The sequence below is a fragment of the Homo sapiens genome, chromosome 22 (assembly GCF_000001405.40).
Source record: "Homo sapiens chromosome 22, GRCh38.p14 Primary Assembly".
NCBI classification, from domain to species: domain Eukaryota; kingdom Metazoa; phylum Chordata; class Mammalia; order Primates; family Hominidae; genus Homo; species Homo sapiens.
Window position 1 is genome coordinate 25,119,986 of NC_000022.11, and position 27,502 is coordinate 25,147,487.

Here is a 27,502-nt window from a genome sequence, read left to right on the forward strand (position 1 = left end):
TGTGCCTCTGTGTGGAGTGTTGGAAGAGAAGAACAGAATAACAACTCTAGCTACCACTTCTTGAGTGCCTGCTGTGTGCCAGGCACAGGTTGTTACTAATACATTTCTCCTGGAGATCTGGGCTTCAAAGAACTGGGGTCCAGCTGCTGTGTGCCCTTCCCCCATCTCCCACTGCCTGTGCCAACTGCCAACTGCCACCTGCTACGTCATGTCTAGAGCCCTGCCAGGTGCCCTGGTCTCGGGCTGCACCTTGGGGTTTGGATTCAAGGGGTTAGACTTAAAGCCAGCCCCAAAGGCCAGCATGATGTCACTTCATTCTCTGCTACAGTGTCGCCAGGCAGGCAGGACAGGCTGCTTTCTTTTTGGCTGGCCTCACCCAATTTCAGGTCTCCTTTCACCCTCCTGGCAGCAGAATGATGTCACCCAGAGAACAATGGTTCCTTTATAGATCTAGCCTGGGCCAAAGTCTGGGTCTCAGAGTAGGAGCCTCTGGGAGAGACCTGGAGTGAATGGAGGGGCAGAACAGAGGGCTTGGGTGCTCCACAGGGATCTGCTTTTGTTAAGTAATGTTAATCTCCTTTCCTGTCTCCCCAACCAACAAAATACGGTGTGCTCAATGTATTCTTGGAACATATAGAAAAATGTAAAGAAAACAAAGCCCACCCATTCTCCTAACATCACATTGATGAAAACCACTCCTAGCATTGGAATGCATTTCCTTCTTGTCTTTTTCCCCCCTCTTCCAAACAAAATTGCCAACCCTCTTTCTCTTTATATCCTTTAAAAAATGTGAAAGTTTTGTATGTCTTTATGACACTTTTAATGCCCTTGCAACATTTGTGTGCTCCATAATTTATTAACCTGTCTGGCTGGACATTTGGGTAATTTCCCGTTCTGGGCTACCAGGAGTGACCCTGCAGGGGCGGGGCCTGCATGTGTACTTCTTCATCTGGATTTCTGAGAGGTCCCCGAGGTTTAAGTAAGCTCACGTTGCTTTCTGTGATCAGAAGGCCCCTTTGTTACTCTCACTTTTCTCTCCCTCTCCCTGCGTTTTCTAATCTCAGATGTTTTGTTCAGACAAATGCTTCTTGCTTCCTCATCAGGAAGTCAGAAATTTCAGGAAGGAAATCTGGATTGATACGCATCACAGGGAGTGTTACGTTTTCGGATTTCATGAAGAATGGAGTCTTTAGTTGGCCGGGCGCGGTGGCTCACGCCTGTAGTCCCAGCACTTTGGGAGGCCGAGGCGGGCGGATCACAAGGTCAGGAGATTGAGACCATCCTGGCTAACACGGTGAAAACCTATCTCTACTAAAAATACAAAAAATTAGCTGGGCAAGGTGGTGGGCGCCTGTAGTCCCAGCTGCTCGGGAGGCTGAGGCAGGAGAAGGGCATGAACCTGGGGGGCGGAGCCTGCAGTGAGCCAAGATCACGCCACTGCACTCCAGCCTGGGCGACAGAGTGAGACTCCATCTCAAAAAAAAAAAAAAAAAGAGAATGGAGTCTTTAGCAAGAGAAGTCCTTACAAGAGAAATAACAGATTAGTTGTAATGGTGTGCTGGTAAAATGTTTAACAACCCCGTCTTCTTGGGGAAAAAGCTTTGATTGGTAGCATTTGCGCAATTTGGTGGTATAAATACTCCCACCATAGCCAATTGTAAGCTTCTAACTAGTTTTCACTAAACACAAAGTTGGGGAAAGATGGGCAGTAGATTACTGTTCTTTAGTATTTTTACCACACAGATATAATAGACATAAGTGACGGCAAGCCCGTGGAAAATAATAAAATGTAGCAAAGTAATTAGGAAGTGATGAGATGGGAATATTTATTACTTTTGCTTTTAATGTGATTTCTTTAATTGTAAGTTTAGATCGTTTAATCTTCAGTAATGGCTGTGTTTAATACCTGGCTCCTGAAAATTGCAGTTGTCCCTCAGGGGCCAGGACAAGCCAGCTCCAGTATACGCAGCTGGTTAAGAGAGTGAATTGTGGGATCTGGGAGTTGTGAGTTTGAATCCTGGTTCTGCGTCTCCCTTGCTATGTGGCTTTGGGTAGTTTTCCTACTTTTTTAAAGCCTCAGTTTCCTCTTCTGTAAAATGAGGCCAATAATATTATTCCCCCACAATTGCAGTATGTGGAACTGCAGCACAACGCTTGGTGCATAATAGTGAGGTAGGAAGTGGGACTCGACTCCAGAGGCGGGGCTCGGGCACCGGACCACATTGAGGACTAGCTAAAACAGAACCAGGGCAGAAGCAGCTTTCCAATCAGACACGCTTACCAGTGTGACATGTCGGTTTACCATTGATTGCCATGGTAACACCTGGGAGTTACTGTCCCTTTCCCATTGATTGCCATGGTAACACCTGGGAGTTACTGTCCCTTTCCATGGCAATGACCCAATGACCCAAAAGTTACTACCCTTTCCCTAGAGATTTCTGCATAAACTGCCCCTTAGTCTACATGTTATTAAAAGTGGGTATAAATGTGACTACAAAACTGCCCTGAGCTGCCACTCTCTGCCTGTGGGATAGCCCTGCTCTGCTGGGGCTGTCACGGAGCTGGAACACTGCCACTTCAATAAAGCTGTTTTCTTCCATCTCAGCTTGCCCTTGAATTCTTTCTTGGACAAAGCCAAGAACCCTCATGGACTAAGCCCCACTTTGCCTGTCCTGTATCAGTAGGATCTCAGTGAACAGTCATTATTGGCCGGTTGCAGTGGCTCACGCCCATAATCCCAGCACTTTGGGAGGCCGAGGCGGGCCGATCACGAGGTCAGGAGATCGAGACCATCCTGGCTAACATGGTGAAACCCCGTCTCTACTAAAAACACAAAAACATTAGCCAGGCGTGATGGTGGGCGCCTGTAGTCCCAGCTACTCAGGAGGCTGAGGCAGGAGAATGGTGTGAACCCGGGAGACAGAGCTTGCAGTGAGCTGAGATCGCGCCACTGCACACCAGCCGGGGCGACAGAGCAAGACTCCATCTCACAAAAAAAACAAAAACAGTCATTATCATCATCACCATTGTTATCTGATCAGAGCTTAATAGTTGGCAAGGCACAGTCAAACATGATAGCCTCTAAGGTGGTCCTCTCAGTGATTCTTGCCTTCAGTTATTCACACTGTTGTGAAGTCCCCTTCTATGCTGTACTGGGTTGGTCAGTGTGACCAACAGAATACATGGCATCACTTCTGAGATGAGGTTTTTTTTTTTTTTTTTTTTTTTTGAGATGGAGTCTTGCTCTGTCGCCCAGGCTGGAGTGCAATGACGCAATCTCGGCTCACTGCAACCACCCCTTCCTGGGTTCAAGTGATTTTCCTGCCTGGGGACAGTAGCTGGGATTACAGGTACGTGCCAACACACCTGGCTAATTTTTTGTTTTTTCAGTAGAAATGGGGTTTCATCGTGTTAACCAGGATGGTCTCGATTTCCTGACCTTGTGATCCACCCGCCTTGGCCTCCCAAAGTGCTGGGATTACAGGCGTGAGCTACCGTGCCCGGCTGAGATGAGGTTTCAAAAGACACTGCAGCTTCCCTCTTGATCACTCCCTTTCTTGGAGCTTTCACTCTGGGGAAAGCTGCTGTGTCTTGAGGACCCTCAAGCAGCCCTGTAGAGAGGCCCATATGGTGAGGAACTGAAGCCTCCAGTCCACCACCAGCAAGGAACTGAAATCTGGCACACAGGTGAGCTTGGAAGCAGATCTTCCAGCCTGCAGGTGAAACTGCACCTCTGGCCAACAGCTTGACTCCAAACTCATGAGATACCCTGAGCCAGGACCATTCACTGAAATCCTTCCTAGATCCCTGGCTTCCAGAAACGGTGTGAGATAATAAATGTTTGTTGTTTCCACCCACTGAGTTGTGGGGCTATTTGTTACGCAGCCAGAGATAACTAGTACACATTTCTTCTCACTTACGCTTGTGGAAATAGTCCAAGGATGGCCAGGGAGTATTATTTAATGCCTTGTCTTGCAGATGAGTAAATTGAGGTGGGAAGACCTGCCCATGGTCTGTAATGTGTAGGTGTTGGTATTCCCAGTGGATACCTTTCTTGTCTCATGTGTTCTTGCCCATAAAGGAGGCTGGCTGCTCAGCCAGCCTGGGGTCAGGCTCCCAGGGGCTTTTGAGCAGCTCACCCTTTTAGGAGTTGGCATGAATCTCCCAGCATGGGATGGAATTTGTTTCTTGGATTCTAAGTGCCCATTACCCCACTTAACTCATCAAACATTCATTGTAAGAGCTGGGCCATAAACAGCAGCGACCGCTATGCAGAGATATGAGAGCATGGTGGCTTTTCTCCAGCATCAGTTTCTAGTCCAGAGAAGTTCTGTCAGATTGCCCTGCTCCCTTGGAAGGAGGGTCTGAAGCATACCTTATTACTAAGAATTAAAAATTGCAGAGTTTGTGAACACCTTTGACTTTTGTTTTCTAAGCATAGATTTGGTATCTTCTGCTGTTCTTTCTTGATGGCAAGAAAAGAGGGGTGCAGGTAGAATTAGCTGAGTACAGTTCAGAGCTTGGCTCTCCCTTCAGACAGTCCTTAGTTTGAATGCCAGCTTTGCCACTAGTCAGCTTTGGGACCTCAGACAGGTGACTTTAATTCTGCAAGCCTCAGATGCCTTGTGAAGTACCCAGCATGATGCCTGGAACCTCGGAAGTGCATAATAAATGCCAGGCACAGTTGCTATCCTTACAACCTTGATACATTAGTCAGATTAGAGTATGCTATGCTGCAGTAACAAACTGCCAGCTCTCAGACACTTAACACCAAGTGTGTGTTTGTTTTGAGAGAGGGTCTCACTCTGTTACCCAGGCTGGAGTGCAGCATTGTGATCATAGCTCACTGCAGCCTCGACCTCCCAGGCTCATACGATCCTCCCATCTCAGCCTCCCCACTAGCTGGGACTACAGGCATGTGTCACCATGTCTGGCTAATTTTTTGTAGTTTTTGTAGAGATGGGGGTCTCACTATGTTACCCAGGCTGGTCTCGAACTCCTGGGCTCCAGCAGTCCTCCTGCTTCAGCCTCCCAAAGTGCTGGGATTACAGGCATGAGCCACTGTTCCTGACTGTTGGTTTCGTATTCATGCAAAGTTAGCTGCTGGTCCAGGGGCCATCTATAGCAGGCGCCTCTCCAGGTTGTTCGCATCTGGCATCTAGGCCATCTGGGAAGATGTGACTTCTTTGTAAAAATTTCAGAGGAAAAAACTGGAGGGCCACATTCAAGGCAGAGGCTATTGTCCCATTTTACAGATGGGGAAATTAAGGCTTAAAGAGTAACATATTTTAAGCATTGACCATGTGCCAGCCACTGAGCTAAGCAGATTGTCTTAAATCCCTATAGAAACCCCATCCAAGAGGTATTATCTATGTCGGGTCTGTTTTACAAATGATAAAGTTGAGACTTGGGGAGAGGTGAGTTGCCCAGAGTCACCTAGTTCATAGTCGACCAAGCATGGACTCCAGCCCAGGTCTGCTGACGTCTCATTTCTTGTGCCTCCCATTTGAGGAAGTGGATTGAGAGATTTGGGGTTCGTTTCCTGAGAGGTACCATGGTGTAGAACTGGGTTTCACACCATGGTGACATTGACGTTCGGGGCTGGATAATTCTCTGTCATAGGGAGCTGTCCTGGGCACTGTAGGATGCTGAGCAGCATCCCCGGCCTCTGCCCACTAGATGCCTGCACCATCCTTCCCATCCCCAGTTGTGATGCCCAAAAATGTTTCCAGCCATTGCCAAATGTAAGGGGCAAAGTCACCCTGGTTGAGAACCACTGATGTAGATCGTAAGAGCTCATCCTGGGATGTGAGTTCACACCCCTGCCAGTCCTTAAGTAACCATGTGGCCTTACCCAACAGATTCTGGACAAGGCCAAAGTATTAGTAGTAGGCCTTTGGAATACCCTTTTAGGTAATAGAACCTTTGATTCCTGGTGTAATTTTGGGCAAGTCTGTCTGCTCTGATAAAGCGTTTTTCTTTTGCTACAAAGTGGCGCAAACAATATCAGTTCACGGAGTTGTTACGAGAGTGACAGGAGATGCTGGTGGAGGGCACATAGTTCTTTATAAACAGTGGCTTTTATTGTCATTCTAGTTATCACCTGTCAAAGGGGAGGTTCAGATGGGGGCAGATTTTCTGGTGTTTGGAAGTACTCTTCACGGTCTATTAATTCCCAGTCCCTCATCTCCTGGCTCCATGTCCAAATATTTGCTTTCTGCCAAAGCCAGAAGTTATCCAGCACCTCACGTTCCCACCATCACCAGCCTGATTTCTAGAAACAGCCCTTCCCTGGGCACACCTATGATTTAACACCGGTAATTCCTTAATTCGTAGCTAGGAGCCTGTTCTTTTCTTCTTGGTAATTGCCTTCTGCTTTGGGAAGGATGAGGGTTGGATGTGGCAGCCACGTTGCAGACATCTTGGCAGGAAAAACCTGGGATGTTCTGGAGCCTCTGGTGCTGCATTTGAAGAGCGTACAAAGGTAGCCATGCTGGCAGATGACGTGTTGAGTTTCATTATCCATAAATGTTTTTAAATGAGCCCTAGGTGCCCATGTAAACAGGTAGCTGAGGGGCATGAGGTTGGTGTGGAATTGTTCTTCATGGAGGAGTTCCTGAGCCTTGGTTGTCAGAACATCTAGATCCTTCCAGTTCACTTCTTTTTTTGTTACAGCTGAGGAAGCCAAGGCCCAGAGAGGGAGAGAGACCTGTGCAAGGTCACACAGCAAATTGATGACAGACACAGGACTGGAGCTTGGGTTTCTAAATTCATTGTTGAGGCATTGGAGGCCAGGTGATTCTCAACTTTGACATCCTTTGGAGTTGAGCCACAGACAATTACTGAGCTCCTATCATTTGCAAAAAGCCCTGTAGTCAGCTGTGTAATATGTTAAAAATAATGAGACTCCGTCCCTGCATTTGGGTTTTTAGAAAAGTGAGCATATGTGTATCCCAGTTGTGCAGCTTTGAACCAATGTCCTCTCCATTACACTGGCTATGGGCCTCAGTTTCCCCATATGTTTTTTAGAGGTTGTGGTGTGACCTCTTAAGATCTTTGCAGTAAAATCAGCTCAGATTCAAATCCCTGCTCCCCTGTCTACTAGCCATGTGACTTTGAGCAAGACTTTGAGCAAGCCTCAGTTTCCCCATCTGTTAAAAGGGAATCATAATACTCTTCATGGTGGTGAGAATTCCATACAGTAACGAGTGTGCTGGGCACACTGGTAGGTGCTCAGTAGCTTCACTCTGCCTGGCCTCCCTTTTGGACCACCAGGGCTGCTCACAGCTTGGCAACAACATTCCTTCCTCCCAGCTTTTGCACAAGCTGTTCCCTCTGCCTGGAATGACGGAACCGTGGCACAGGCTCCACTGGTGTTTTAAGAGGGTTAAGCCTCTTCTTCAAATGGTGCCATTTTCTCTCCAGAGTGACCCCCAGCCTCGAGTGTTTTAGTTGTTAGAAGGGAGTGAGGTGGACACATGGGCCTGGCATAGAGCCAGCAGCCCCATCCTCTTCTTCCCGGCCTCTTTTGCATCCACTTGGCTTCCCTGCCCCCCTTGCAAGATTCTTCCCATCCCATCCTGCCCCACCCCACCCCTAAGTTGCTACTTGATGATCAAAGCATATTTGTGTGTCATTAACAGCCACGGCTAATTAGGAAGGAAGGGTTAAGTAGGAGGCATTCCTATACACGCCTGGGAGCTGAACAGTTAGAGATTTTTCATATGCTATGTTGGATTTTCTTTTCCTCTTCTCATGCATAAATACAAGTCCTTTTGTGGGGGAGATGAAAAAAGAATGGAGGTCATTAGAGATCTGCTTAGTGAGTTTCCTAATCTTTTCATGGGATGCGGAGCCCCGTGGATTTTCAACAACTTAGTGCCATTGGTTGAAAAATGGTTTCTGAGCTGAATTGTGGTGAAGCGGCTGCTGTGGTTCAGTGGTGTCTGATTGCTGGGATGGGGGTGGAGGAGGAGACAACAGGGGTACAGATGGGCCTGAGTTCAAATCCTGGCACCACACTTCTGACATCTAGGACCTTGGCCAAGGGCCTCAACCTCTTTGAGTTGTGATATCCTTGCATTTACAGAGGGCTAAAGATATGAAGATTGAACTCAAACTTGGGTGGGCATCAGATATATCTTGGGTCCTGGTGCCACGAGGAGAGTACCAGGCAGGTGCCTTGGGGGTCTGAGGAAGGACCCAGAATCTGCTTTGTGTGGCAAGAGCTCTAGGTGAGCCCCAGGTAGAGATGGTTACGTGGACACCGCCCTTTAAGGACCAATCCCTTAATGTTTCTTCATGTTCATAAAAATAAGTAAATAAATACATATCTGATGGATGAATACATGAATGCATGGACCAGTGCATGAACGGATGCCAAGCTCCTAGCTGGCTTCACACCAGGTGTTGGGTGGATGATGAGGGCCCAGCAGAGCTGTGCTATCTTGCCAGGAACATGATTTGGAGAGGCTCAAGATTATAATTCTGAATTTCCTGTTCAACAGCAACTTGTGTCCATGAGGGCAAGTCTCCCTTCTCTGAGGACTACAGAAGACTGTGGGTCTGTTGTGGTCCAGTCTCAAGAACTCAATGGTCAGTCCTTGTCCTGACCAACCGAGAAAGTCTGGTTTTGTTCTCACTCCCCTAATTGGTACCCTCCAGGCTATTTGGGCTTTTCTGTGGGTGCCCCAGCCCCAGCCCCATCTCTTTGCACCCCCATAAGCCATTGCTTTAGACCCAGAGATTCTCACAGCAATGCTAGACTCACAGATCTCCATTTATGTAGCTGTGTGGGACTGGAATCAGGCAGTATTCCCCAGAGTGAATCTGGAATCCTTTCTGAATTAATATAATACAAGGCTTCTGATTAGCTGGTTTGGATTCCGTCCTTGGCTCATTTATGCAGCTAACCTACCCCTGTCAAGCACCTGCTGTGTGCCAGCTGCAGTACCGGGTGCATTTGCATACCTGATGTTGGACGTTACTTAACCCTCATAATCCTCCTGAGGATGGAGACCAAGGGAGGCAGCCGCACTTAGTGCCAGGGCCCTGGGTGCAGAGGCTGGGGTTCTCCCTGCTGTCTGTGCTCTGTCAGTCCTTTGAGCCAAGTCAGTGGTCCTTTGTTATGTTTCTCTCCCAAGCATGGAGTGCCATGAGGATGGTGGCGGCATGGTGGGCGGGGCGGTGGGGGGGCTCCCTATTTTGCAGAGTTAAAAAAAGACTAGTTAGTGCTAAAAGCACAGATTCTGGGCTGGGTATGTTGGCTCACGCCTGTAATCCCAGCACTTTGGGAGGCGGATCATGAGGTCAAGAGTTCGAGACCAGCCTGGCCAACATGGTGAAACCCCATCTCTACTAAAAATACAAAAATTAGCTGGGCATGGTGTCATGCACCTGTAATACCAGCTACTCGGAAGGCTGAGGCAGGCGAATCACTTGAACCCGGGAGGCAGAGGTTTCAGTGAGCCGAGATCGTACCATTGCACACCAGCCTGGGCAACAAGAGCAAGACTCCATCTGAAAAAAAAAAAAAACCCACAGATTCTGGAGCCAGAAGGCCTGGGTTTGAATCACAGCTTTTCCCAGCTTTGCAATCTACCAGCATGTGACTTAAGCAGCTTGCTTGATGGCATTTGTGCTTCAGTTTCCTCCTCCTTTCTTTTCTCTTTTCCTTTTTTTTTTTTTTTTGAGACAGGGTCTTGCCCTGTTCCCCAGGCTGGAGTGCAGTGGCATGATCTTAGCTCACTTACTTCAGGCTAGAACTCCTGGGTTCAAGGACTCTTCCTGCCTCAGCCTCCCAAGTAGCTATGATTATAGGTGCAGGTTACCATGCCCAACAATTTCCCTAGCTCTAAAATGGAGAAAATAACAATATGTTATGGACATGTTGTGAAGAATACATCTGTTGACGTATACAATGCTCATAGAACAGTGCCTGGCACATAGTTGGCTCTAAAAGTGCTTATTAACAGACAGGGTGCAGTGGCCCATGCCTGTCATCCCAGCACTTTGGGAGGCTGAGGCAGGACGTTCGCTTGAGCCCAGGAGTTTGAGACCAGCCTGGGCAACGGAGTGAGATGTCAGCTCTATAAAAATTTTTTTAAATAAATAAGCAATTATTATCAATATGATTATATTTACTGCTATCTTATAAGAATATTATAAATAAATACATAAACTGTTATACATAAATATTTTGGAGGTATGATTTACATACAGCAAAAGGTATATATCATAAAGGTATAGCTTGAGTTTTGACAAATGCACATACCCGTGTAAGTCACACCCTGTTAAGATCTAGGACATTCTCATCTCCCAGAGAAAGTTCCCTTAGCCCCTTTCCACTTAGTCCCTGCTTTTCTGGCTCTCAATAGACATTTCTTGAATGAATGAGTAGGTTAAAGAATGTGTACTGAGAATCCATCGTATTTGATCCCAAACCTCTTCATGCCAATTGTACTACTTGTAATCGTCATTACATAACCCGATTAGCTGTTATATAAATGTATGAGATACAACTGCAAAGAGAAAGAGATTTGTCATACTCTGAAAACTTAATTAAACACTTTGAAAAGATTCCATACAGGCAAATTGCTAAAAAAAGAAGTCCCATCCTGTGAGGGGCGGGGGACACTGTCAAAGACAAGGGTGAGGAATCGTAAACATCTAGATGAGTTCTACACTCCCTGCTTCCTTGGTGTCTGGGCCTCCACTCGGAGCTGTGCCTTTCCCGGCACCTGCAGCACAGGTGACCCAGCCTCTGGGTGGAGAGCTCCTCTCCCCACTGCCCTCGAAGCCTGTCCCTCCTGGGGAAATAGCACAGCTTAGAGGCTTAGAGTCCCATGCCTGAATGTCAGGGGCAAGGCATGGGTGACCAGGAAGACAGAGGTAAGATTCCAGGGCCCCACCTCCCATAACTTACCCACCACACCCCAAACCAAGGTTGCTCCTTGAGGTTTTTAATATATTGGACTAATATGATTTTGCTTAAAGAGATTTTTTTTCTAAAGCTCAAAAATGGAAAAGAAAGTAGAAAACCAGTGATGTGGTGCTGGTCACCACCCCCAGTCAGAAATGAGGAGACTTTCAAACAGGGTGGGGGCCTTGCCCAGTGACACACAGGGATTGCTCTGGAAGAGACTGGGCTTCCAACTCAGAGTTCTTAGCATTTCGTATGGTGATTTCCATGCAGTGATGAGGAGGGTGCCATCTGGGTGTTTTCCAGCCCTGGAGAGCTGAGGCCATGCTCAGGGAACACACCTACAGCCTGCGAAGGTCCCTTTTCCCTCCCTGCCCCCATGGTACCCTCTGCAGAACTGGAGTTTTGCACAGGTTTGGGGCTTAGGATGCACAAAGTGCCCGGCACGTGCCTGGTACCTCTTCAGCTCACAGGTAGTGCCCACACCCATGGGCCTAGCAAGGTCCCTGCTGCTTCTAAGGGGACTAGGGTCTTTGGCTCAGGTTTTCTCCCTCTGGGGCCTGGCAGGTGGCACGGGGCTGCTCATCCCTGAGGGAAAGTTAGGGATGAAGTCACCCTTCAGGTCCCTGGCCTGGTCAGGCGCACAGGCCATTTGCATGGGCTCAGGCTGATGTCACCCTGGGAAGCCATTCAACACTGGGGGCCACCTTCAGCCCTGGCTGCCCGCCTGCCTGTTGCATGTGTCCTGTTTTGTTTGTCGTGTGGGGCAGGGTCAGGGAGGAGCCCTGTGGTGGAGACAGTTTTCTGTGCTGTCTGAGAACAGGGTGATGCCATCCTTCTTCTCACTGAAGCATCTCAGGTTGGGAGCAGGCTGGTTCCCTGTTCAGATCCCAGCTCTGCCATCTGCCGGCTGGGTGGCTGTGGGCAGGTTACTTTGCCCCTTGGTGCCTCACTGTCTTCCCCTCTGAAGGGGATGGCCGGGGCATAACCGCATAGAGTTGTAAGATTGACACGAGTTGATGGGTGTGAAACTCTTTAGCGCAGCATTGGCCATTAGGAACACCTGTTAGCCATTGTTGTTGTGATTATGGTGGTGGTGATGGCTGTGGTAATTGTCTGGGAGATGTTTATGAGTGCTGTTATATTATTCCCAGAATTGATTGAAGTCACACTTTTCAAAGAAAACAGACACATTTGTCCCTTCTTGGATCCCCACTTGTTTTAAATCAATGCAACTTAACAAGACACATATAATCTGTAAGCAGGGGCTTGCATTGTTTCCAAAACCTTTACTAAAGCTCTCACTCACCCTTCCAGTTTGCAAACTATTGTTAGAGAACGGAGGTTCTCAAACAATGCAAGTACCCAGGCCCCACCTCCTAGACATCTGACATAATTGGTCTGAGATGCAGTCCAGGCGGTTGGAGTTTTAAAAGCTCCTAGGTGATTCTAAGGTGCAGCCAGGGCTGAGACCCACTGGGGTCAGGGGGCATAGCAGAAAGAACACAGGCTGTGCAGTAAGAAAAACCCCAGATCAAATCCCAGATCTGCCAGTTACCTCCTGAGCGACCCGGGGGCAAGTTTCTGCCCCTCTCGGAGCCTCGGTTTCTTTATCTGTAATGTGTTTCAGGAGTCTGTTGGGAAGTACGTGAGATTCATGTGAATGGTACCTCTTATGGGGCTGGTGAGTCCAAGTGGACATTTCATAGATACATCTCCAGAATATCAGGGCTTGGAAGTGACCTTAGACCCTGCCAGCTGTTCCCACCTTGTCTCTCTACTGAAGATCCCTGTTACAGGTTCTCCTCACTTTCACAGCCTGGACATTTCCCAGAGTTCTTCATGGAAGCACCTTAATGAGTGTTCCATGGATAAAGAATACCAACGCCTGTAATCCCAGCACTTTAGGAGGCCAAGGCAGGCAGATCACCTGAGGTTAGGAGTTCGAGACCAGCCTGGCCAACATGGCGAAATCCCATCTCTACTAAAAACACGAAAATTAGCGGGGCGTGGTGGCAGGCACCTGTAATCCCAGCAACTTGGGAGGCTGAGGCAGGAGAATTGCTTGAACCCAGGAGGCAGAGGTTGCAGTGAGCCGAGATTACACCATTGCATTCCACCTGGGTGACAGAGTGAGACTCCATCTCAAAAAAAAAAAAAAAAAAAAAAATACCAGAGACAATATATTTAAGAATCACTTGGTTAAACAATGTTTTTAATGCAGGACTTTTCAGAGCCTTTTATTATGCAAATATACATTAGGAACCTCCAGACGTGGTCCTTGGCACCCTGCTGTATTTCTGAGATCTCAGATGAGAGAATTGTTGCAGATTTGCTCACTGACTTGATTGGGGAAATCTCACTACACTGAACGTACACACCAATGGTAAGATTTCCACTTTCAGAAATGCTAAGTCTGGGGGAGAAATGTGCCTCTAACTGGAAGGTTTCAGTAGCATGTGTTGACCACAGAATTCACAAAGCATTTCACTAGGTTGTATCTTGCATAACACACTTCAAATGGGCCTGGTCATTTTGTTTTCCTTTTAGAAGTAGATAGATTAGCTTCCATCAAAAGACTCTGTTCTTCGAATTGTCTTTATATAGTCAATGTTAGTTCCTTCTTCCTGTATTTTTATTTTTTTGTTTGTTTTTAGAGACAGTCTCGCTGTGTTGTGGAGGCTGGAGTGCAGTGGTGCAATCATAGTTCACTGCAGCCTCGAACTCCTGGGCTTGGGCGACCCTCCTGCCTCAGCTTCCCGAGTAGCTGGGACTACAGGCACCCACCATGGTGCCTGGCTAATTAAAAAATTTTTTTTCTTGTAGAGATGGGGTCTTGCTATGTTGCCCAAGCTGATCTTGAACTCCTGGGTTCTTGCGATCCTCCCACCATGGCCTCCCAAAGTGCTGGGATTACAGGTGCGAGCCACCGCATCCTGCCCCTCCTTGATTTTTATTGGGCGGAGAGGAAGGTACATGCATAGATGTATACATCACCCTCAGTCTAGACATTGGTGTCCCTTCCAGATGCAAAGATACTGGCCTGAGAGGGCCTTGAGATTCCACAAGGGGAACTTTCCATCTGGTACAGGACCCCCTTTATTTAGAGAAGAGAGCCTCAGCCCAGACAAAGAAACAACTTGGCCAAGGTGACACCGCCTCTTTGGAGCAAGCCTGAAGGCAGAGCTTTGCCGCAGAGTTGGGTTTCCTTTTGCTGCCCTCCCCTGTGACTGAGTACCTTGCATGCTGTTTTTTCAGCCTGAGCCTGGTTGGCCTCCAGTTATTATTGAAATGAGTGGATGTTTCCGGGAACACAGCAAATCCATAGAGTTTAATTAATGAATGTGCCAGAGGGCTTGGCAGCTGGATTCTTGTGTTTACCATGGGTTTGGCTGGCAGGCAATTCAGGAAGAACTTTAAGGAGGGTGGGGTCCATCTCCCTAGCCCTGCTTGCTCTCCTGGTATTGGTATGTGTGTGTGTGTGTGTACCCGAAATCTGATTCTCCCAACACTTTTATAGGCATGTGATGCATACGGTTTTTTCATTATTGTTTTTAAAAGTACTGGCATTTTATTTTTTGCATTTATCAATTTGTCAAAACAAAATCATCTCCACAATGACCTTGGAAATAGTAGTTAAATGTCTCTGACTTACACAGACCTAAGTAGGAGTTGTGTTGTCTCTTCTGTCGTCCCAGTTGGGGTTGTGAAATGAGCAATAAAGCTCAGATCACCTTGCAGCCTCCAGCCCAGAGAGTTGGAGGCAGCTCAGGAGAGCAGCAGCCTAGCCATGCTGCCGCTCTGCAGCTTTGCAAAGCTGGGAGGCCTAGTGGTTTCAAGGCTTGGATTGAGACAGACCAGAATTTAAATCCCAGACCCACCACTTGCCAGCTCTGTAACCTGGGGTAAACTCCTTAACTTCTCTGAACCTCAGTTTCTTCTCAGGTAAATTGAGGATAATAATATACAGGCAGACCTGATGTAAAGATTAAATAATACAGGTAAAGCACTTAGCACCATGTCACGTAGCAGACACTCTATACATGTTAGCAGTTATCCTAATCATCATACGTACATTCCATTTTCTAGGGGTGACCACTGAGTTCTGGGTAGATTCATTGAGTTGCCAAAGGATTGATGTAACATGACAGTAAGGCATTTGTTTGTGACAGTCCCTATCCCTGCCCCATCTCATTTAGTTTATATTCACAAGAATTTGAGGGCTAGTCTGCACTTTGGGCTGTTAGTGCCAGTGGCTTTCCCTGCATGGATTTTGCGATTTTAGTTTTGTTTTGTTTGAGATGAGTCTCGCTCTGTCACCCAGGCTGGAGTGCAGTGGCGCAATCTCAGCTCACTGCAAGCTCCGCCTCCTGGGTTCACACCATTCTCCTGCCTCAGCCTCCCGAGTAGCTGGGACTACAGGCGCCCGCCACCAAGCCTGGCTAATTTTTTGTATTTTTTAGTAGAGACGGGGTTTCACTGTGTTAGCCAGGATGGTCTCGATCTCCTGACCTTGTGATCCACCTGCCTCGGTCTCCCAAAGTGCTGGGATTACAGGCATGAGCCACTGTGCCCAGCTGATTTTGGGATTTTTGTGTGTTTCTTTGTGTAGTATTGGCTGTTTGTTCTTCCCTCTGTGTTCACAGTTTTGAAATTTCCTTCCCACTCTCGAAGTCTAAAGAATTGAAGTCAGACATGTGACTAATTAACACCTCTTAATTGGGGAAATATGACCTTTTAGATGTTATTATAATAAAATGGCAGCTACAAAAAGAAGGTGATTCTGCCCCTCACGTGGCTGTCTGGTGGGTGTCAGCTCCAGAAAAGGACAGGGAGAGCACATCCTCTTGGGCTGTCCTCTTTGGTTCTGCGTTTCCAGTTCACTGCAAAGTCAGACAGCAGCCACGTCACGACAGCATCACCACAGTACTGATGGCTGACGTGCATTGAGCGCTTACCATGTGCCCAGGGCACTGTGCTAAATGCTTCAAGTCCTTTGATGCTTTGCATCCTTGCAGCCACCCTGCGAGGTAGGTATTATCATCCTGCTTTACAATTGTGGGAACTGAGGCTCAGGAAGGTGAAGTGGCTTGCCCAAGGTCACACAGCTGGCAGGCTACAGAATCAGCATTTGAACTAGGGCTTGCACTTGAGACCAGGAGCACAGCCTATCCCAGAGTTGTGTACTCTGCAGCTAACTTGAGCTCTGAGTAGGAAACTTCCTTGGCCCTATTTAGAGGAGAAAGACAGGGAGGGAGCTCATGTTCCTTAGGTATCTACCCTGCTTCATGTGCCTTTTATATATCTTTCATTTCATTCTTGGTTTTAAACACCCCCTCCTCTCTCTCTCTCATACAGACACAAACACAATCAGCATTATGATCCTTGCTTTTCAGATGAAGAAATCAAGGCTCAGAGACAACAAGGGGCTTCACCCAGATCACACAGCCAGTAAGCATCAGATTTTGAACCCAGGTGTGGCTGATTCTGAGCTCTTGCTTTTTTCTACACTGAACCAGACTGTGGCATTTCTGATTATGTTCTCAAAGGGGAGAAGGGATAATGTGAATTCAGAGCTTGGCATCACGCAAACAGCCCTAAACCGTGAGTCAGGAAGCCTGGGATTTCTGGGCAGTACCCTGCTGGGATTTCTGTGGCAGTACCCAGAAAATCCTGCCCGTTTTTGCCTCCATTTGTCCCATTTGTACCACAGGGACGTGGTCTCCCAGGTTTCTGAGCCTCTTCTGCATGTCAGCATTTCGTGTATATTCTGATTATAGCCAAAGATGCTTGTCTGTGTATCCTGGAGGAGATGGAGCTTGGGGCAGAGCTATAGACCTTTGAGAGGATCCCTGGAGTAGGTGAATGTAGCACATCATGCCTCTCAAGGCAGAACTTAGACCAATAATGGTTTTTTTCTTTAAAAACCAAAGAGAAACTTTTCCCTAGTTGGGGGATAGACAAGTAGTGAGTTTCCCATTAAAAGGGTACATTTTTGAGGCATTCAGAATGATACGGATACTTCAGGCATTAGGAAATGTGAAATAGTGAGGTTTAGCAAGTAGAGGCTGGGCACTCTAGATGCAAATACCTTTCAGCTCCGCAATCCTATTATTCTGTTCAAAGATAACCAGGTGGTGAGCCTATAGCAGGGTACCAAGTGGCTTTCCCTATATTTGCTAACTCTAAATGACTGGGAGTCGCTGCCTGGGGTGCAGTGTTAGGGATTCTCTGAGATTATCTAAGCTCACTTCTGTAATTGATTATTGATGTCTGCCATGGGCAAGGGAGTGTTACTGACTTTCTGATTTCATCTTTGCTGTTTTCAAAAGGGTACCCCTTTGTGTTTCCAACACGAAATTGTTACTTTTTTTTTCAATCAGGGAACAGGAGGACATGGATGTCAGCAAGAATAGGAATAGCAGTCACCAAATCCCACAGCCCGAATTCTCTTCCTATGTTACCAGGCCTGTGGTAACACCTCTCTGTAAAGGTCAGAGGCTAAATTTAGGAAAGTGTCATGGAATCATGGAATGGTTATTATTCATGATGACTGTCCTTTGTTTCCCTCAGTTCGGGAGAATTACATAATGGCCAATAATTGATGTTAAAAAACAGGTGATAAACAAGAACATTTGAGATTAATCTCTTGTTTCTTAAAGAGGCACTTTTGTATACCTGCCTGATTTTCAAAGCTGTCCCCGATTGTTAGGTAAACTGGACATGTGCTGAGGAATCGAATGGGGCACAGTTTACCAACTTCTATAAGTGTGTTTTTCACTTTCTGCTCAATCACTGTTATTTACCATTGTGTCCTCATCAAGTGATTTTCTTTCAAACCAAAATAAAAGTTGCCCAACCCTTTCTGGGAGAGTTTGTCCTCCTGCCAGTACCTGCCTGCAGCTGGGAAAGTTTCCAGTAAGTAAACAGTTTACAGTGGAGGAGATTGAGGCCCAGAGAGGTTAAGTGACTTAGGCCTAACATGTCACACAGTCAAAGAGTGGCAGAGCTGGAATTAGAACCGAGGCCTGTTTATCTCAAAAGTTCCTCCACTTAAATATGCCAAGTGAATGGCTGTCCTGCAGTAGATTCTCAGTGTACAATGACTCATTTTTCTTGTGCTTGTCTAAAAATTGTTTGCCTCTGTATCTGTCAGGATCAGCTAGGTTGTGCTGCAGTGACAAATGGCCCTCAAAACTTCAGTGGCTTAAAACAGAAAAATAGGTTTTGTTTTTATTTTTTGAGCATTCTAAATGCCCGCTGTCATTGGCTGTGTCTGTGTTCCATGTCATCTTTACTCTGGTGGCCTAGGTTGATGGAATAGGTTGCCTGTGGGAACAGCCGGCTGCATGGCTGATGGAAGGAGATCATGGCCAACCAGTCATTGGCTCTTAAAGTTTCTGCCTGGAAATGAGTGACAGCACTTTTTGCTTGCATTTCATTGGCTAGGGCAAGTCACATGACTGCACCTGAGACCAAGAGGGGTATATAATCCTTCGGTAGGGAGTGACATTGGATGTATGTGCCTTGCAGTATGGTCTGCCTGACACAGTCTCAACATGATCTTTATCAATTCATTTGTAGAAATAAGTCTGCCCAAGTCCATTTTCTCCTTCTCTGAAGCATGAGCCACCCTTTTGGATTAACTCTGCTCTTGTTGCTTAGATTGATTAACGATCCCTGAGTTGAACATTCACCTATTCTCATGTACAGCCCCATCTCTGATTTTGATATATTCATTCATTTATTCATCTGTTGGTTCATCCTAGAGATGGACTGGAACCTGTGATGTGAAAAACAAAAACAAAAACAAAACATCAACCTTCAAATACTAGAGTTCTTCAAAGAAATTCAGAGTTCTTTCAAGATATTCAGGCCCATATCTCTTCAACCCACCAAAGTGTTGCTGAGTAGCTCTTGGTGCCTGCATTTCTCTAGGTGGGCAACATTTATCGAGTGTCTGCCATGTGCCAGGTGCTTCCATGACCCAGGAAACTTCCAGAGATCTCAGGAAGATGTTTTGTCTTTGGGTGCTTGGGAATCCCACCCCCTTCCTGGTCTTCCCTCTGAGGGAAAGGAAAAAACAACTTCAGTGCTTGAGCAGAGAGAAGCACCAGCCACTGCACACCACCCCCAGACCCCAACTGAGAAGTAGTGGAGGAACAATTACTATGGCTTTTAGGCAATGTTGTAATGGGTCTCCTGGGCATCTGTGCTCATCTTTTCTCAGTTGGGAATTCTGGGGATGCTGCTTGGAAGATATTTATAGAAGAAATGCTCATTGCCTGGGGTTCTCAGAGAGGCAATTACATAGTAAGAAGGGGGAGCCGAGGCCCCCCTGATGGGGCTCACCCTGGGAAGGCTGCAGGAAGATGCAGGCTTGGCAGGCTGCCTTATCTTGGCGAGGAGCCCTGAATCAGAAGCAGGCCTCCCTGGTTACAGAGGAGGCCTCAGGAAGTGGAGGGAGGCTGTATGGTACAAAGGTGGGGTCCAGCAGACTTGGCCTTGAATCTGGATTTTGCCACCTACTTGCTGTGTGACCTTGAGTAAATCACGTGGCCTCTCTGAGCTTTAGTTTCCCCTTCCATCCAGTTGTCAAAGATGTGGTAAGGCTTTAATGACACCATCTATCTCCTCAGCAGATGCTTGTTGCATGCCTACTATGTGCTGGGGATTTATCAGAGAACAGACCATTTACTTTCTAGTTGGAGTTGGGAAGAGAGGCTATAAACAACAGCAAAAGCAGTCTAATATCATGGGTGGTGAGTGCTGTGAAGAAAAGTAAAGCAAAGTTGGGGAGATAGGCATGGGTTTTGGGGGACATATGTACTTTACACAAGAGCTTAGGGAAGCCCTCTTTGAGGAGGGAACATAGAAGAAATGAAAGAAATGAAGCCCAGAGCTCTGCAGATATCTAGGAAAAGGAAGAACATGCCAGAAGTGGGAACAGCAAGTGTGAAGGCCTAAGGACGGAGTGTGCTGTTCTTGGCTTACTTTAGAAAGCACATGGAGGTCTTTGTGGCCAGGTGGCAGTGAGTGAAGCTGAGAAGTGGTGTGGTGGCAGTGCAATTGATTAGTACTGCTGCGTAACAAATGATCACAAACTTAGTGACTTAAAATAATATAAATATCTCACAGTTTTTGTCAGTCAGGAATCCAGGCCCAGTTGAGGGGTCCTCTGCATAGAGTCTCACAAGGCTGCAATCCGGGTGTTGGCTGGGCTGCATTCTCAGCTGGAGGCTCGACGGGAGAATCTGCTTCCAACCTCACTTGGGTTATTGGCAGAATTCATTTCCTTGGGGTAGAGGACTGACGGCCCTGGCCACTTGCTGGCTGTCAGCTGGAGTCCAGCCTAGAGGCTGTCCGCAGTTCCTTGCCACATGGGCTTTCTCATGGCCATTTGCTTCATTAAGCCAGCAAGGAGTATCTCTAGAGTGAGCCTGCTAGCAAGGTAGGGTTTTCTCTTTTTTTTTCCTTTTTTTTTTTTGAGACGGAGTCTCGCTCTTTCGCCCAGGCCGGACTGCGGTGGCACTATCTTGGCTCCCTGCAAGCTCCGCCTCCCAGGTTCATGCCATTCTCAAGGCAGGGTCTTCTATAATGTGATGCCGCAGGGGAATAACATCCCATCCCCTTTGCCACATTCTGTTGGATGAAAGTAAGTCATGGGTTCTGCCTGCACCCAAGGGGAGGGGCTCACACAGGGCGTGAACACCAGGAGGCAGGGATCCTGGGAGGGGCACCTCGGGGTCTGTCAGCCACATGCAGTGAGCCGTGAGGGTCGATGCCAGAGAAGTGGGGAACAGGGAGCAGTGGGCAAGGGCCCCATAGGATGCAGTGAGGGCATTGGGACTTATTCTGTGTATGACAGGCATCCGTAGGAGGTTCTTGAGCAGAGGCGTGGTATGAGAAATTGTCCGTACCTCAAAGAGTGCATTTCATATGTGGTCACTGTCATCATGAATGGTTATTCCAGCTCCTGGACAGGTCATTGGTCAAAAATATATGGGAAGGAGAAGTGAGGGGGAGTTGGAAGAGTAGAGTTATTTTTCAGGCTCTTCCTGGGACTTGCTGTGGAACTTCCTACAAGGCCCTCACGTCTCAGAACCTCTGGCCCTCATAAGACTGTAAAACAGATAAGACTGGGCTCAGAGGAGCTCCTCAGCCTACTGGGAGAACCAGACGTTAAACATGTAATCACCCTGCCAAATTACCCCTATATTTTTATCCTAGCTTTATAAAACAAGGATCAAAGAATGGGCAGGAAGTAAATTCACCCACATTTTAACAGTGATTCTCTTCAGTGGTGAGATTGCATGTTTTTGTTTTTGTTTTTTGTTTTTTTTTGAGACAGAGTCTCACTCTGTCGCCCAGGCTGGAGTGCAGTGGCATAATCTCGGCTCACTGAAAGCTCTGCCTCCTGGGTTCACGCCATTCTCCTGCCTCAGCCTCCTGAGTAGCTGGGACTACAGGCGCCTGCCACCACACCTGGCTAATTTTTTGTATTTTTAGTAGAGACGGGGTTTCACCGTGTTAGCCAGGATGGTCTCAATCTCCTGACCTCGTGATCCGCCTGCCTCGGCCTCCCAAAGTGCTGGGATTACAGGTGTGAGCCACCACACCCTGCCCATTTTTTTCTTTGTAAATTTTTATTAATATATGTATCTTTATATCTAGATCTATATTTATATTTTATAGTGAAAAATGTATAACTTCTGTAATCAGGGGAAAAAACCCTAATCACCAGGGTTTGGGAGTGACATATCTCTTTTCTAACTACCCTCCCCTACCTTCTGGGAACAGCCAATCCAGGCCTACGCATGTCCCCACCTTTTATTTAAAGAGGTGATGCATCACGGGATTTTCCTTTCCCAGCCTGCTGAAGCCGAGGTCCAGAGGTTCTGACTTAGACCACAAGTTCACGAGCCTGTCTGGCATCTTCCAAAGTGTGGCATTCAGTAGATGTGATTTGGAACCCTGGCTCGGTGATGTGTTAGCTCCGTGACCTTGGTCAAGCTCCTATGTCTGTCCATGTCTCAAGTTTCCCAGTCTTTAATGATAATGCTATATAACCTTTACCTTACAGGGAAAATGAGGAGAGATGGGATGGGGTGAATCCCTGGGAAGCACCTTATAAGCCATGAGACACCACCAAAATGGTTGCTTGTTCAAGATTAAGAATTCATGAGCTGCCAGTTTCCCCATCAGGCACTTCTGCAGCAGGCCCTTAACCTCTGCAATCCCTGCAATTCCACACTAGCATCCTAGGGGTTGGGGGCACTGTGTACTTTAGCGGCAGCCTCTGGTTGCCTAGCAACAGGAAATCCATCCTGGTTGATACTCTTAATTCGTGGGAATGTTCTGCCCACTGAGATGGCGCTGATACTCAGTTACACGAGAAGGGGAAAATCAGCAGTCTGCACAACTTGCCCACAAGTTGCCGAATCCGATCCCTTCTCAGAGTCCTCTCAGCCATAAATAAGATGCTGGAGGCCACAGTAGAGTCACAGCTCTGGCTCTTCCCCAACAATTCCATGGTCACCAGGATTTCTTGGCACCATCCCCCTGCACTGGTTCCAGCTGCCATCTTCGCCAGAGGGTCTGGTTTGAAATGCTTTTTTGGGTCCACAGGGGCTGAGGTGAGTGGGATGTTGTCCATGTGTGCTTCTTTTAAACCAGATGGATGGACCGGGCATGGTGGCTCACGCCTGGAAACCCAGCACTTTGGGAGGCCGAGGCGGGTGGGTCACCTGAGGTCAGGAGTTCGAGACCAGCCTGACTGATATGGTGAAACCCCGTCTCTAATAAAAATAGAAAAATTAGCCAGGTGTGGTGGCAGACTTCTGTAGTCGCTACTTGGGAGGCTGAGACAGGAGAATTACTTGAACCCGGGAGGTAGAGGTTGCAGTGAGCCAATCTCATGCCACTGCCTGGGCAACAGAGCAAGACTCCATCTCAAAAAAATAAATAAATAATAAAATAAACCAGGTGAATGAATCCAAGGTGCTCCTGTGCCTTACCTGGGAAGTAAGTGGGGACTGGCCCTTCAGAGGCAGGCCCCAGCTGCGCTTCCGTTCTCAAACTCAGAGCTCTCCAGTGTGAGGACTCCTTGGTAGGGACACCTGGGCTTCTAAACAAAGGCTGATGAGGGGCTGTGATCTTTTCACAAGCCTTCACCCTTTTCCCACGTCTATTTACTCAGGTATTTTTCAGGCTCTCCCCGTCCTGGGCACCGGCCAAGGTGCCAAGGAGACAGTGGTGAGTGACATTCACCTTCCCTTCAGGGAGTTGCCAGTCAGCCAGGGGAAGAAGGCCTTGAAACAAGAAAACCAGCAGACACACAAGAACTCCCAAAGGGTTAGGAAGGAAACAGATGGAATGTGTGGGCCTCCACTCTCAGGGGTCTGAGGAGGAGTCTACGCCAGCACAGGGTTGGGCAGGCTGAGCACATGGCAGATGTGTCAGAAAGCAACTGCCTTTTGTTCTGAAATGGTGTTTGTCATTATTTGAGGATGTTAACATGTCCAAATGTCCATTTTGAAATGAATTCGTATAAAATAAAAACATTGCTGTGAAAAGCTCACAGTCCAGGGTCTGTCTTTCCTTCCTTCTCTCCTCCCTTCCTTCCTTTCTATAAATTGTCATGGGCTGTGAAATGTGAGATGCTGGTCTCCACTCATCTGGTTCCAGCTTCTCATCTGACAGATGTGGTTCCTGAGCCCAGTGGCCAGCCAGACCTTAGCCACCATCACATGCCCCTAACTGTCCTCTGCCCCATTTTCCCTGCAGATGACATGCACCAGGCTCCCCAACCCTCACCACAAGCCCTGAGGGCCCTGGATAGCCTAGGAGTCTAGAAACCTGGGCCTAAGATTAGACTGGACCAAGTTGATCCTGTTTCCGCCATTTATGTGCTGTGTGACCTTGAGCAAGTGAATTAACCTCTCTGAACCTTTGTTGCCTTGTCTGTAAAATGAGAATGATAGGCCGGGTGTGGTGGCTCATGTATGTAATCCCAGCACTTTGGGAAGCTGAGGTGGGAGGATCCCTTGAGTCCAGGAGTTCGAGACCAGCCTGGGCAACATAGCAAGATCCCATCTGTATAAAAAAAAAAATGAACTAAAAAAAATGAGAATGATAATAACAGTACCAATGTCATAGAATTGTTCAGGGGCTTTGTTGTAAAAGTGTTTGATTGGTATGTAAGAAACACATGTGTTCTCACAGTCTCTTTCTCTCTCTTTCTCCTGCCCCTTCCCTTTTTTAACTGGTATTTTCTAGTTTTTAAAATGCTTCAAGTTTTTCTACCTTTACCATGTGCTGAATGGTCTTTGTTCCTATCTTTACCTCTTGGCACTGCCTCTATCTTCTGAGGTCCAGTTCACATGCCTCCTCCTCCAAGTAGCCCACTGTGCTTCACCCACCCACTAGACTAATCCCCACTCACTCCGGGTAACAGACTCCAGTGGTCTGCAGATACACCTGGCTCCCCTGATGCTCCTGTGATGGGGAATGTGACCTCCTGGCTCCCAGCTCTCTGGGGGTTCAGGGCCTCACTCCCTTTCCATAGGGCCCAGTTCAGTAAGTGACATTTTCTTATTGAGGCCACAGGACAAACTCATAAAGTAGCTCTATGGTTTAACAAAACAAGAGTGTGGACTTGGGCTGGAATACCCTTCGGAGTCTCATGGCCTCACATGGGAGGCGAATCAGATTTAACAAACCCTAAACAAATATTTGTGCAGGCTTTACAGCAACTGAGTGAAGTGTTTCTTTCTTGTCCCCATTGTGTAGGTGAAGAAACTGAGGCCCAATGAGACAAAGGGACTTGCCCAGGGCCCCACTCCCAGGCATAGAAAGGGAGGGACTTAGGATTCAAGCCTGTCTACACCAGGGGTTCCCACCCTGAACCTCCTTCTCCTGGGAATCCCCAGACAAGCCCCATCACTGTTAGTTAACCCATACCTTTTCAGGGCTCTGGTGTGACTGGATATTATCTGATGTTTCCATGCAAGAACAAAGAAGTAAGGGGTATGTCTGCCATCGGAGGTCTGTGACTTCCAAATTCAGGGGAAAATGCCCTTTTGCTCTCAGAGTCCTTGACTAACCTGCTTTTAATTCCCCTGGACCATGCACATCTTTGTCCAGGTGCTGTTAGGAGTCCTTTCCCTTTAGGGATGGTGGATCCCTGAGGTCCCCAGAGCTACCTGACAGCCACAGGGCCAGCCTACCTGAGGCCTGGGGCCCAGCGTGGGTTCCCTAATTATTGCTGAAAACCATCTCTCGCCTGTCAACATTCTATAAATAGGGACCTGGAGGAAGAATAAAAAATACCACCGGCTCTTTTCCCCAGTGGGGGTGGGTTGAGTTAAAAAGCCTCTGAAATAGCAGCATCAATGGCGTAGGAAAGCTGGAGGGAGTTGGGAGAGCTGAGAGGTCACCTGGGACTGTTTTCATCCCTCAGAGGACCTGCCTGTGGGCCATGAGGATGATGGTGGTTTCCCCAAGGCCACACAGCATGGCCCTGTCTGATTCCTATTCCCCCAGGGACATGGTGTAGGAACATTTGGGATTGGGGAAGACTGGGCCTGGTGATCCCCAACCTGTGCTTCCTCCAGGTTTCCTTTGAACATGGCCATCTCTGGCTTTGTCACCTGTGCAGGTTACTTCCCCTTCCCTGGGCCTCAGATTCTGTGTCCCTAAAACAAGGTCCTTGCCAGCTCCAAGTCACTCAATGGAAAACCCAAGCTAGAGGCCGGGCACAATGGCTCACGCCTGTAATCCCAGCATTTTGGGAAGCCGAGGCGGGTGGATCACTTGAGGTCAGAAGTTTGAGACCAGCCTGGGCAACATAATGAGACCCCATCTCTACAAAAAAAATTAAAAACTAGCTGCATATGGTGGCAGGCACCTGCAGTCTCAGCTACTCAGGAGGCTGAGGTGGGAGGATGGCTTGAGCCCAGAAGTTCAAGGCTGCAGTGAGCTATGATCACGCCACTGTACTCCAGCCTGGGCGACAGAACACAGCCCTATCTCTAAAAGAAAAAAAAAAAAAAACAACAACAAGCTGGATTAATGCTGAATACCATCTTTTGTCAGTGGCAGTGTGCATGAGTGTGCACATGTGTCTGTATGAATGCAGTTCTCTTTAAAACTCAGTGACACGCTCAGGAAATTACCTGTGCAGAGAGTCAACTTATTACTAGTTAGAAGGCCCTTTGAGGGCAGAGTTTATAGAATCTCATAGTAACACTATACAATAATAATAATATAAGTTCTAGTCATGGCTACCATGTATGGCCTCAGAGAGGTTTATCGAGTTGCCCAAAGTCACACGGCTGGTGGGCAGCAGAACCAAGACCCAACCCAGGTCTGTCTGACCTCAGACCAGTTTTAACACCTGGACTTCCATATCAAGTAGGCTTTGTAGGATAAGTCGCTCAAACAAATCCCTTACCTGCACTTCTTTTGTTTTTTGTTTTGAAAGGCAGCACCCTGCTTTTCCTAGCCTTGCCCCCAGGCCTCACCAACAGAGTACTGACATGTTATTTATCATGAAAACATCTGAACAATAGCAGTTCCCAGAGCCAACCTTGCTGCCAAGTTGTTACCATGGGAGATATGTAGAATATGTGGGGGCAAGGAAAGAAACTTAGGAAGTGACATTGAGTCTGGGCTGCCTGGCTTTGACTCCCAGCACTGTGGCTTTGTTCCCCAGGGCAGGTGACTTCCCTTTGAACTTCAGTTTCCCCATCTGAAAAATGGGATACTGGCAATGGATAATGTTCCCCCCACTCCTCCAATGGGAGCAAAATATTTGAAGCCCTTGGTGTTCACATTTGGAGATCATATTTATTAATGCACTCACCAAAGGATCTTGCATGTAGACAGTCAGTGCCCAATCAGTGTTTAAAAACAAAATAGAGGAGAGCAGAGTACAGTGGGGACTGTTTGGGAACCCAGGAGCTAGTTGAGCTGGGCAGACCTCAGCCCTGGTCTCCTGCCCCTTTCATCTCCCCTGGAGCTTTGACTTATCTTCCATCCTGCAGGGTTGGAGCAAACCTAACACTTTGTGTGCCTAATCCATGTGTGTGTTTGGGAAGCTCCAGGTTTAAGAGCAGATGAGGGCAATATGATTTAGGGAAATGAGAGAGGGAGGGAGGGTGAGGGATGCTCCACCCCCTTCCTTGCTCCTTGATCCAAACGTCAAACATGCTGTCTGTGCCATGCAGCATTTTATTTTATTTTTTACTATTTTATTTTATTTTATTTTATTTTATTTTATTTTATTTTATTTTATTTTATTTTAGACAGAGTCTTATTCTGTCACCCTGGCTGGAGTGCAGTGGTGCAGTCTTGGCTCACTGCAACTTCCACCTCCCAGGTTCAAGTGATTCTCCTGCCTCAGCCTCCTGAGTAGCTGGGATGACAGACGTGTGCCACCATGCCTGGCTCATTTTTGTACTTTTGGTAGAGATAGGGTTTCACCATGTTGGCCAGGCTGGTATCAAACTCTCAACCTCAGGTGATCCACCTGCCTCGGCCTCCCACAGTGTTGGGATTGTAGGTGTGAGCCACCGCACC

At 47.5% G+C, this 27,502-nt stretch overlaps 1 protein-coding gene across 9 annotated transcripts in view, besides 1 other annotated feature; it reads left to right on the forward strand.

The window, feature by feature from the left end:
• Positions 1-27,502, forward strand: part of KIAA1671 — a 244,733-nt gene that overhangs the window by 167,270 nt on the left and 49,961 nt on the right. The gene's annotated exons all lie outside the window — the stretch shown is intronic.
• Positions 3,848-4,017: an enhancer, noted in NCBI's record as "experimental_63138 CRE fragment used in MPRA reporter constructs". NCBI's record gives its function as "activates a minimal promoter by MPRAs in K562 erythroleukemia cells, with activity observed for both the introgressed and non-introgressed 22:25519885 variant alleles {active_cell/tissue: K562}" and the evidence as "EXISTENCE:reporter gene assay evidence [ECO:0000049][PMID:34662402]".